Raw genomic sequence first — 12,568 nt, 5'->3', positions numbered from 1 at the left:
AAACCTGTACAGGTACCCCTGAACTTAAAAGTTAAATTTGGAAAAAAAAAAAAAAAAAAGGTTGGCCAGGCATGGTGGCTTATGCCTGTAATCCCAGCACTTTGGGAGGCCAAGGCAGGCGGATCACCTGAGGTCAGGAGTTCAAGACCAGACTGACCAATATGGTGAAACCCCATCTCTACTAAAAATACAAAAAAAATTAGCTGGGCATGGTGGCATGTGCCTGTAATCCCAGTTACTCAGGAGGCTGAGGCAGGAGAATTACCTGAACCTGGGAGGCGGAGGTTGAAGTGAGCCGAGATCGTGCCATTGCACTCCAGCCTGAGCAACAGAGCGAGACTCCATCTCAAAGGAAAATAAACGGCTTCACTCATCTTCCTCCTGTACAGGACAGAACAGGACCCTTTTCATTGTATTTTGTTATTTTTAGTTATTTATGTATCTTTAGAGATGGCATCGAGCTACCTACACTGGTCTCTAACTCTGGCCTCAAGCGATCCTCCTGCTTCAACCTCCTAAAGCACTGGGATTACAGGCATGAGCAACTGGGCCAGCCAAGGACCCTTTTTAAAGAGCAGGGAGAGAAAGAGAGACAGAGACGGGGGTGGGGGGTGAGAGGCGTGGAGTGGAGAGAGAGTGTGGAAAGGCAGGGCCAGGGCTCCTGTGCATTGGAACACCTGATTTCCATGGCCGAGGAGAAATCATTGCCCACAGCCTTTGTCATGTTCAGAATTGCCAAGCCCGAGAGCTGGGGGGACCCTGCCTCCCCTAAGGCTTTGACCTCCTGCCAAGGGGAACCTCCAGAGAGCAAATCTATAGAAAACCAACTGGGCACAGCTTTCCAAGAAAAATAGAGCTTTTTTCTTTTCTTTAAAAATTGTATGAAATTGTCAGAATCATATGCCCAGGTGGTGGAGAGAAGTAGCAAAAAGAAGGCAGTTTCATGTTTGAAGTTGGAGTGCTGGAGGAATCGCGGCCAGCTGGCCTGTGCTCGGGATGTCTCTGCAGCCCTCTGCTCCGCTCCCTCTATGGGAGTGTGCTCCTCGCCTGCCCGTCCTGCACTTGGTAATTGCAACCATCTGTTCAGAGTGGAAACTCACACTTCCAGGCCCAGGCACCGCTGCTCTCTGGAGGGTCGTTATAGGGCAGTGAGGGCGGATGTCCCTCCCCGTGTCACCCACAGCCATCTCCTCTCAGTCAAGCACAGCCCAGTTCTGGTTCCAGCTCTGCTGTGGACTCCCTTGGGCTTGCCCCTTCCCTTCTCTGGGTGTCAGGGTCCAAGTGCGCGAACATACGTGAGAGTCCCCACCCGGCTGCTGGATGGGGCGGCTGTGAACCCATGGAGGACTAGGAGAGCACTGTGAGATTTGGGAGAGGCGGTGCTTCAGCATCAGCTCCAGGCCCCCTCTTCCAGGAAGTCTCCCGTGGAGCCCCACCTGAGTACATCAGCCTCTGGCAGCTTGTACTGTCCCTCCGTGCAGCTGTCATTTTTTGGGCAGCTTCTGTGTTCAGTCAGGCACAGGAAGCACATGGCTGTGAGCAACTCGGCATGGCTTCTGCCCTTGTGCAGCTGTGGCTTCAATCACTCAGCTGGCTGGCATCTCCCATTACTCCCACTAGGTTGGGGTACAGGGCAGTGAGCAGGGTCTGCACCTTGAACTTCTACATGTTTCCATCAAGAAACTTTTACTTGCAAGAACAAACACCCTCCCAACCTGGCTGACGCCAGAAGCAAATGTATCAGGAACACCGACAACATCTGCAGAAGCCAGGCCTGGCACCACTGCCGTCACTGCTATCCAGACACCCTCTCCATCTCTGCTGGGCCAGAGTCTAGGCCCAGTTGCCATTCTGGCCCTATCAGGTCTGGCTCTGCGCATCGTGGATGAGCCATGCCCTCATAAGCCTAGATCCCCATATCAGGATGAGAGCTGGGGGCTGACCTCTGAAGGCTCTTACAGTTCCAACCTGCCCTGATTCTTGGAATCTCCTCTTCCATCCAGAGGAGAGGAGGTCAACAGTAGGAAGAATAAGCCAAGGCTGCCTTAGAAAACAAAATGGCATACCTATCTACCCTATGACCCAGGAGTGCCATTCCTAGGTATTTACCTAAGAGCATGAACCATATGTCCACACACACACACAAGACTTGCACAAGAATGTGAATAGCAGCCTTCTTGTTCCTAATAGCCAAAGCTGGAAACAACCCAAGTGTGCAACAGGTAAGTGAATGCATCATGTAACTGTGGAACACCCATACAATGGAATACTATGCAACAGATACGCAGACTAGTACATACAGTATATGCAGACTGCACAGGCAGATGCAGCAAGGTGGATGAATCTCCCAGGCATTATGTTGTGTTTAAGAAGCCAGGCACAAAGAGTACACACTGGATGACTCCATTTATATAAATTTCAAGAACAGGCAAAACTACATGGGAACGGCAGCCAGAGAGTGGGGGGGAGGGGAAGCACGTGAAGGGACTTTCTGGGATTGTGGAAATGTCCTATATCTTGTTTTGCATGGTGGTTATATGGGTGTATACAACTGTCAAAACATCGAACAATTAGGGTCTGTGCATTTTAATGTATGTAAATAATGCTTTAATTTCTTAAAATGATTGCGACCAGAAAAGAAGCTAGAGCCCTCAGAGCAACACATGGGGCTGTGTCCTGCATGTCCAGCCAGGGCCTGCCCTAGGTGCTGAAGAGCTTATCTATCTTGTTAGAAGTTAGCAGTTTCCAGGCCAGGAACGTGAGAGTCCTACTTGGTCATTTTTCACAGGAACATCGTCAAACTAGAGGACCAAGGGAGTGAGGTGGGGAGCTAGGAGGACAGAAGGAACTCTTCTAGGATATCAGCCACAGCCTAGGAGAAGGGCTCATTTATCCTGTGAACATTTATTGAGCATGTACTATGAGCCAGACATTATGGTGGGCACTGGAGATACAGCAGTGACCGAAAGACATGGTTCCTGGCCTCAGGGAGCTTGCTGGGAGAGACAGACATTGAGTTACTGATCACCCCAACAAGCACCTCACCCCTGGGGCAAGGACTGAGGATAAGCACAGGGAGCTCCAAGATCACAAGCCTGGAGTCCTCACCTCACTTGGGTATGGGAAGGTCTCCTGGAGCCCTGAGTTCTGAAGGATGAGAAGACATTAGCCAGGCCAAGAGTGGGAGGGAGAGCATCCAGCCCCCCACCAAAAGTCAGAGCCAAGAGAAGCTAACACAGGAGCCACCAACTCCAGTGTCTAAGAGGGCCAGGCCAGCAACAAAGTGTGAAGAGGAGAGTGTGAGTCCCCATGGTGGAGGGGAGGGGGAAGCGCAGGTGCACTGAGCATGTGGCCATGGAGGGAGGAGGGGAGTTGGTTGTTTTCCTGTAGGATTGCAGGCCTGGTGGTGCCCCCTCTTCCCATTTTCCAGAAAAATGAGAAATCTGAAGTTGTTAACATGTCAACTCATATCAATTTTTAAATCTTGACTCAAATTTTTTGATTACTTTTATAGATTCAAAGCAATCCCAATAAAAATTCCAGCAGGCTTCTTTGGATGAAAATTTGCAAACTGATTGTAAAGTGTATATGGAAGGGCAAAGGACATAAAATATCCAAAAATAATTTTGAAAAAGAACAACCAAGTTGGAGAACTCACACTGCCTGATTTCTAGATTTATTATAAAGCTACAATATGTTATGGGCTTGTTTGTTTTTGTAGAGATGGAGTCTCATTATGTTGCCCAGGCTGGTCTTGAGCTCCTGGCCTCAAGCAATCCTCTAGCTTTGGCCTCCCAAAGTGCTGGGATTATAGGCAAGAGCCACTGCACCCCACCTAGGACATAATGTTATTGGCAAAAGGATGGACACAAAGATCAATGGAATAGATGGCAGTGTCCAGAAATAGGCTCACACAAATATGATTGACTGGTTCTTTTAAAACACTGTGGGCTGGGCACAGTAGCTCATGACTGTAATCCTAGCACTTTGGGAGGCCGAGGCGGGCGGATCACTTCAGGCCAGAGTTGCAGACCAGCCCGGCCAATATGGTGAAACTCTGTCTCTACTAAAAAATACAAAATAATTAGCTGGGCATGGTGGCTCACACCTATAATCCCAGCTACTCGGGAGGCTGAGGCATGAGAATTGCTTGAGCCTGGGAGGTGGGAGTTGCAGTGACCTGAGATCGTGCAACTGCACTCCAGCCTGGGTGACACAGAGCGAGACTCTGTCTCAAAAAACAAAAACAAACAAAGAAATCCCACTGTGATGACAATTCAATGGAGAACGGATATTCTTTTTAGCAAATAATGTGTCCACATGGTGGGCAGGCTCACTTTTAGATGGCTCCCAGGGTCCCTTGCCTTTTGGTGTTCACACCTTAGTGGAACCCCTCCCCTTGAGTATGGGTGGGACCTGTGATTTGCTTCTAATCAATAGAGCCTGACAAGCTACAGGAGGTCATTTTCATGATTATGTTACATTATATAAGATTCCATCTTGCTAGCTGACTACTCCAGACTCTCCTTGCTGGCTTGATTAAGTAAGCAGTTGTGTTTGGGAAGTCCATGTGACAGGGACTTGTAGGAGACCTCTAGGAGCTGTGAGTGACCAGCAGGGAGCTGGAGCCCTCAGTACTCCAGCTGCAAGGAAATGAATCCCACCAACAATCTGAATGAGCTTAGAACAGATTCTCCCCAGTCAAGCCTCCAGATGAGAACAAAGCCCAGGGACACCCTGATTGCAGCCTGGGGAGATTCTAAGAAGAGGATGCAGCCAAACTGTGCAGAGACTCCTGGCCCCACAGAAGCTGTGATAAAATAAATGTGTATTGCTTTAAGCTGCTAAGTTTGTGGTCCTTATGCAGCACAGAAAACTAATATAATCCATAAACCAAAAATGAACCTCCACCTATATTCATATCATATACAAAAATTAAATAGAAATGGATAATGGCCAGGTGCAGTGGCTCACGCCTGTAATCCCAGCACTTTGGGAGGCCAAGGTGGCGGATTACATGAGGCCAGCAGTTTAAGACCAGCCTGGCCAACATGGCAAAACCCCATCTCTACTAAAAATACAAAAATTAGCTGGGCATGGTAGTACAGCCACCCAGCTGTCTGTAATCCCAGCTACTCAGGAGGCTGAGGCACAAGAATCACCTGAACCCAGGAGGTGGAGGTTGCAGTGAGCAAAGATCCACTCCAGCCTAGGTGACAGAGCAAGGCTCTGTGTCAAATAAACAAAAAAAAGTGGATCATGTCTAAATGTAAAACTATAAAGCTTACAGAAAAAAAAATGAAAACACCGAATGTGGGTAGATATATTTGGACAGGGGGTAGCCAACATAGGAGCCCTGATGAGGGTGAGAGTGACGCAGGGAGAGCCTGGTTGAGGCCCATCAGGACTTGGGGTCTACAGTGCCTGAGGTGGTTTGGGGGCCCATAAGGACTTGGGGTCCACAGTGCCTGAGGTGGTTTGGGGGCCCGTAAGGGCTTGGGGTCTACAGTGCCTGAGGTGGTTTGGGGGCCCATCAGGACTTGGCAGTCCACAGTGCCTGAGGTGGTTTGGGGGCAGCAACAGCCTTGGCTCCAGGCTCTCTGGTCCCTCTTGTCTCCTCTCGCTTCTAGCCCCTAGTCCCCATATATTCTTTAGTCTGGTCCCAATCTGGTTGGCTTAGTTGATGCCACCCCATGGGCATCCTTCATAGGTGGCTTACCAGCATTTGGACGCATGGTCCCTGGGTCAGTGCACACCCTGGTGTAATCCATTTCCATCCTTGTGCACAGCCAGCCAGTTGCTGCCTCCTGGTGTGGGCCATGGAAGGGAAGCTGGACAAGAAAGGTCCAGTGAGGAGGAGCACATCAGAAAGGTTTCTTCTCTTTGCCTCAGTCTCCTCTGCTGCCCGACAAGGGGTTGATCCTCTTCCATGCCTGCATTCTGAGGTTACCTAGAGACAGGCCCAGGCTAGGGATCCTGTGGCCCTCTGGTGCTTCCCATGACAACCCTGTGGCCATTAGCCCCTGCCATGCTGCTGGGCTGCAAGCCCTGGCAAGGTGTAGTTGCCAGGAAGCCCCAGCTGAGAAGGCTGGCAAGCAACTCTGTCGAAGGTAGGTGGGAGAGGTGGTAGGGGCTGCTGAAAGCTACCTGGGAAGTGACAGGGCCTATTCCTTTCTAAGAAGCGCCTCCCAGGAAATAGGCAGCTCAGCCTTGAGTCATCACTGATAACCTGGGCCAAGGAGCCACCAGGTGGAGTCAACTCACCATCATCTGTGTGTGTCAGAGGTGCAGGGACCAGGAGAAGGGCGCACTGTCAGGTGAATGAACAGAATGGCGGCTTGTGACCCAAGTGGCACTTGTGGAGGGAAGTGCAAGGGGGTTCCACCAAGCCAGAGTTAAATGGAGGGTGCTGGGCACCCAGATTATGGGAGGTGGTGTCAGGTTTTATGCTCCCTTGGCTGATTCCCAGATCAGTCCCTACACAGCCCTAAAAAACAACCCCCACCTGCATTTTTTCACCTGCAGACCGAGCCGCCAGGGACCACCTGTATTCCGTTGCTTCCTAGAACACTTTGCCTTCCTCTATGCACAGCTTGGCACGTAGGGTTTCAGTGATGTCAACGTAAGCATAGCCTTAGCCCAGCACAGTGGAAGGATCAGCTAGCCAGTGGGTGGGGGCAGCGTGGGGTGGGAAATGTGACTCCTGGAATGTCCAAAGGTCAAGGAAACTTGTTTCAGGAAACAGGCTGACTGTTTCAGGGAATGCAAAAGGTAAATTTCACTGCATTTTATTCGTGGTCCTATAAACATGCCAACGTTTTCATCAAGCTAGAAAATTAGAATAAAGGAAACCTGGAACTAGGGATGGCAGGAGGGCACAGGGCACTCCCTTACCCCAAGCAAGGTCCATGCCACAGCACCCAACCAAGTTATGCTGGGTAGAGGGGAGGACGCCCCCTCCCCTGACCTCAGAAAAAGCCTCAGAGACAAGAAGACAAGGGAATTGGGTGGGAGCCTCCTGGGAGGGTACCGCCTCCAAGGAGAGATGGCGGCAAAGGTGCCTCCTGGGTCACCTAACGTGTCTGTTACTTGTCAGATGATGGTTGCTAAGGTATGGGTAGAGGGAAGCAGTTTGGGGTGGGGGTTGTTTGCGTATTTTGTTGTTTTGAGTCTTAGTCAACTTATATTCACTTCCAGTGACCTGAAGACGTCACGCTGCCTGCTTCCCTAGTGCTGATGAGGGGCCCTGGGGCAGTAACAGGAACCAACAGGTGCCTGAGCCTCAGGGTAACCTGGGAGTCTCCTTGGAGGAGAAACATGTGGGCCCTGTGGGAGTGGGCATGAAAGATGTGAGAGCACAGCCTGTGGGAGGGTGCCAAGGGACAGCACTGCCCATCCTCCAGGTGTGCCACAGGAAGCAGCTGGTGTGTCCAAAACAATGAGAAGAGGCCAAAGGAGACAAAGAGGAGGAAGTGCTGCCAGTGGATCAGAGTCTGAAATCCTCCCTGCACTGGTGGCCGTGGGGATCTACCCTTGGCTGCCACCTACTACTCTCTCCCCCTCCAGCCCCCTATACCACCTCACTCACTGTCACCTGCCGGTTCCCAGAAGGAGGAGACAGGACGTTCTAGGAAGGATTCAAATTCCACCTCCAGGTCACTGAGACAGGCTCCTGCCTCTTACCAGCTTCATTCATTCATTCATTCAAGGTTCATGTTTTGAACACAGAGCCAGGCACCATGCTGTGCTCACTGCTAGGGACAAAACAGTGGGCACAGCAGCCAAGGTTCCTGCCCTCGTGGAGCTAATGAGACGTCACTCAAATATGCATGCAAACAGGCATGGTGACAATGTGGTCAGTGCAAAGAGGAAACCAGTAGGGTGCTGTGAGCATCTCACAGAGGGAGGGGCAGGAGTGGGGAGTCGGCCCTCACATCTACTGCTGTGTAACAAATTACGCCCAAGAGCAGTGGCTTCAACAATGTTTATTATCTTCCACGTTACTGTGGGTCGGAAATGTAAAAAGGACACTGAGTCTGGCCTGTCTCTACTTCATGATATCTGAGGACTCAGATAGAGACTTGAAGGCTGGGTGCTGGGTGCTGGGATGACCCGAAAGATCATTCACTCCCTAGGGGCCTGGCTGGGGCCATCAGAGCTGGCGTTAGCCAGTTCTGGGAAGGTGCATTCCGGGCAGAGGGAATTGCCGGTGGGACAGCTCTGAGGTGTGGAGTGTACTTTGGATGGGGCAAGAGTGGAGGTTTCCTCTTTGCAGTGATCACATTGACATCATGCTGTTTACATGTGCATTTGAGTGATGTCTCATAAGTTCCACAAGGGCAGAGGGAATTGCCTGTGGGACAGCCCTGAGGTGTGAAGGGTACTTTAGAGGAATGAAGACAGATGCACCAGCTCTGCCTGCGTCTGAGAACCCACATGCCTGGGAAGAGGACCCATCCCATCTGAGGGTGCAAGGAAGGCTCCCAGAGGAAGCTGGGTAGGACTGGCAGGGTGGAGCTGGGAGCAGAGGGAGAGGCATTCGGGGGCACGAGCCAATGTGAGCCAAGGCCTGGCTGAGATAAACTACTTGACCTAGAGAAGAAACCTTGTCAAATACCTACAATAGGCACAAGTCCACCTGAGGCACTCCAGGTGAAAATGTGGTTTTCTTGGCATTTCTAAATCACATTTCTTGATCTTCTAAATCAAATTAAATCTGTTTGGAACCCCCATTTGCCAAAGTTGCAGAGACACCAGTGCCAGCCACATTTTGCCCCCTTCCCCATGCTAAGGCTTGCAAGGGCTCCAGGACTTTTCCATGCAGGCTCTCCAGGGCCAGGCCCCTCTGGACTGTCCCCCTCCGGGGACTCCTGGTTAGACTAATGGTTCATTTGAAGACAAATGTCTCTGTGCTTAGGGCTGCCACAGGGGTGTTGAGGTTGACATGGGATGTCACACCACTGCCGCCCTGGCCCAGCCACTCTCGGGTGCTGGGTGTGAGGGGTCCCGGGTCTCCACCAAGGGGAGAATTGCCACCTTCCTGGAATTCAGCTCCTTGGGTGGGGTCCATCCTCTCCCCACCTCTTAAGCCAAAGCCTCTCTGAAGAGTTCTGCCTGGAAAACACAAAGCCCCTCATTTTACCCCATGCTCCTAAGGAAGGTCACAGGCCTGACCTCCGCATTCCGTGGGGACGCACTGACCTCTGTGCAGTGTTGGTAGTAGTGGAAATCAGGCCCTGATCACATGTATAAGCAACTCATCCCGTCGCATCCCCTTGGTGACATTGTGGTGGTACCTCAGTTTCCCCAACAGTGAAGAGAAGGACTGGCCTAACTGTGCTGAAATACCGAGTGATTGGAGTCCTAGGAAGCATTAGCAGGGAGGGGAGAGCTCGCCCCAGGCCTGGTGGGCAGCACCTGCAGACAGTCCATCAGCTGCTCCCAAAAAGGCAGACAGCCACTGCCCAGTGAGAGCACGCCTCACCAGCCAGGGCCAGCCTCCTAAACAAAGGCGGCCTTTTCTTGTCTTCCCATATACCCTTCCAAAACAAAACCCAACACGCTCTTTCCAGCTGTCTGGTTGCCCCTGCAAGTTGCCCCTCTGGATGCCAGATGAGGACACCTTCCCTGGAGCCCTTAGGGATCCTGGCGGACCTGAATCCAGGAGCCAAGGCCTGCTCTGGAGCATGGAGGCAGGGGGCTTGTTTTTATTATTATTTTTTTCAGAGACAGGGTCTCATGCTGTCACCCAGGCTGGAGTACAGTGGCAAGGTCATAGCTCACTGGAGTCTCAAAATCCTGGGCTGGGGAGGGTGAGCAATCCTCCCACCTCAGCCTCCTGAGTAGCAGGGACTACAGGCGTGGGCCACTCTGCCTGGATCATTTTTTTTTTCTTTTTAAATTTTTCTAAAGATAGGAGTCTTACTTTCTTGACCAGGCTGGTCTCAAACTCCTGGCCTCAAGGGATTGTCCAGGCTTGACCTCCCGAAGTGTTTGGGATTGAAGGTGTGAGCCAACACACCCAGCCAGGGAGTGGATTTTAAGGTCTTTGGTGGCTCCATCTTGGGTGAAGTTTGGTGGCAGGGCCACCTCGCTCTTCCCTTGCACAAGATGGGGGAAGCTCAGCCTAGAGCTGGGAGCCTAGGCAGCCCAGTCCCTGGTGAGCCTGTCTTTAGCACTCTGGGCCCTGAGCTAGAATTCAGCTCTAGACTTCCATCCAAGCCTCACCAGTGGGAAGGGCTCTGGCCTGCCCCTGAGTGCCCTCTACATTTGGAGCCCAAGACTCCTCTCTCCTTCTGACCTCTCCATTGTCCTTTTACTTTTTCGTGTCTGTGTCTGCCACTCCACCCTCAGCCGAAAGTCATCCTCTCCCCTCAGTGCTGTGCCTGGAGTCAGGGCATCTTCTCACCGGATCCTGGGCATGCTCTGGGTTTCCAGGGCAATGCCAACAAACTCAGACTCTGTCTTGGGGCCAAATAAAAGCTTCCCACTTATCAATGGCTCCACCACCTGCCATGTGCCTGTTGAACAAGGTGACATCCACGTAAGTCCTGCTGAGTCCCCACCTCACCAAGGAGTCAGTCCAGGCCCAGGATTCAACGCAGGCCCATACACCTTCTCTCCACACATCTTTTCCTGCCCCACCACCCCCAACCCCAGCCTGCACTGCTTCGCTCCCCACCCCGCCCCTTGGTCTATTTGGGTTGGTAGGCGCCTTCTTCCGGGAAAACAGCACATCCTGTGGGTCAGGACAGGCCTCCCTCGAGAGCTGTCTCAGCCAGATGGCCCCCAACCCCAAAGCCTGGGCTGGGGCTTTCCAGGTGGCTTTTCCATAGAGCAGCCTGGTTCCCTCTGAACGCTGCACCCCACCCATCTGCCCCTGGGTAAAGCTGTTGGTGGGGAAATTGGGCCCCACTTTACCCGCTGTGGATCGAGAAACTCCCAGCAACCTCTGCTCCTCACTTCCCTTCTGCAGGACTGGAAATTGGGGTCCCCCCTAGGTGAGTCTCCCACCTTAGCCCCTAGAAAACTGTCAATTCCTGGGAATAAGCCAGCCCCATAGTAGGTGGGGTTGACTCCTGGGAGTACAGATTTCCACCTGGGACCCCCTTGCCTCACCACTCTGTCCTCTCCAAATTCCCTCTCCCAACCTTTGGAAGATGGTCTCAGAGTCACCCATGGTGGCTCCACAGGGCCTGACTGGTACGTGAAGACAGGAAGAATCAGGCACTGAGTCCCATCCTCTCTAGTACTCCCTTTCCTGTTTCCACTAGGACATTTTTGTGCATCGCATTGACTTGGTCGACAAATAACATCAACGATGAAATGGTTACTGAGCACGTACTATTTGCCAAGGGACACCGATGGTCCTGCCTGCAACATTTCAGTTAAGTTTGGAAACAAGCAATCAATGGAGGAATGAGCTGGTTCCAAGCTCCAAGTTCGAAGAGCTGGTTCCAAGCCTAAAGTTCGAGGTTCCCAGCCTGGCCTCTGCAAGCCAGTCTCCAACATGCTCCCTAGTGGGCCACATTCTTCCTCTGCTTAAAGCCCCTCAATGGGCTGGGCATGGTGGCTCATGCCTGTAATCCCAGCACTTTGGGGGGGCCAAGGCAGGTGGATCACCCGAGGTCAGGAGTTTGAGACCAGCCTGACCAACATTGTGAAACCTCGTCTCTATTTGAAATACAAAATTAGCTGGGCATGGTGGTGGTGCAAGCCTGCAATCCCAGCTACTCGGAAGGCTGAGGCAGAGAATCACTTGAACCCGGGAGGCAGAGGTTGCAGTGAGCAGAGATCGCGCCATTGCACTGCAGCCTGGGCAACAAGAGTGAAACTCCATCTCAAAGGAAAAAAATAAATAAATAAAAGCCTCCAATGGCTCCCCGTTTACCTGGGGTAGAGTCCAAATTCCTTAGTGTAGACTATAGGCCCTCCCTGTTCCTCCTGGCCTAGGTACCTGTTGTCCCCTCTGCAGGGACATCTCTCCACTCCACCTGCTTTGCTTGACATGCTCCGACTCCTCCTTTAAATCACTTTCTCCAGAACAGCTTCTCCGTAGCTCCCAGGCCACGTTACCAGCCCTCAGCGATGTCACCTGAGGAACTCTTCCGTGGGTTGTATCTGCTTGTTCATAGCTCTGTTTCTCCCCCAGTCAGTCTTTCTCACTGGAGGAACTTTAAATCAGCTTTTTTTTTTAAATGGAGTCTCACTCTGTTGCTCAGGTTGGAGTGCAGTGGTGCAATCTTGGCCCACTGAAACCGCTGCCCACTGGGCTCAAGCAATCCTCCCACCTCAGCCTCTCGAGTAGCTGGGACTACCAGTGTGCACCACCATGCCCAGCTAATTTTTGTAATTTTAGTAGAGACGGGGTTTCACCATGTTGGCCAGGCTGGTCTCAAACTCCTGAGCTCAAGTGATCTGGCTGCCTCGGCCTCCCAAAGTGCTGGGATTACAGACATGAGCCACTGTGCCCGGCTACCACCCCCAGAGATTCTGATTCAGCTGTCTGGAGTATGGCCTGGGCAGGGACAATTTTAAATCTCCTCCTGTGACTGTAAGGTACAACCAG

The 12,568-nt window shown here is 51.9% G+C and overlaps 1 annotated feature.

The window, feature by feature from the left end:
- Nucleotides 4,596-4,772: a silencer, noted in NCBI's record as "fragment chr16:48562077-48562253 (GRCh37/hg19 assembly coordinates)". NCBI's record gives its function as "represses an EF-1alpha promoter that drives an FKBP-Casp9 reporter gene in an ReSE screen in HepG2 liver carcinoma cells {active_cell/tissue: HepG2}" and the evidence as "EXISTENCE:reporter gene assay evidence [ECO:0000049][PMID:32094911]".

Source organism: Homo sapiens, chromosome 16 (assembly GCF_000001405.40).
Source record: "Homo sapiens chromosome 16, GRCh38.p14 Primary Assembly".
In the NCBI taxonomy this organism is placed as follows: Eukaryota; Metazoa; Chordata; class Mammalia; order Primates; family Hominidae; genus Homo; species Homo sapiens.
This window is presented reverse-complemented; position numbering and strand designations above follow the sequence as displayed.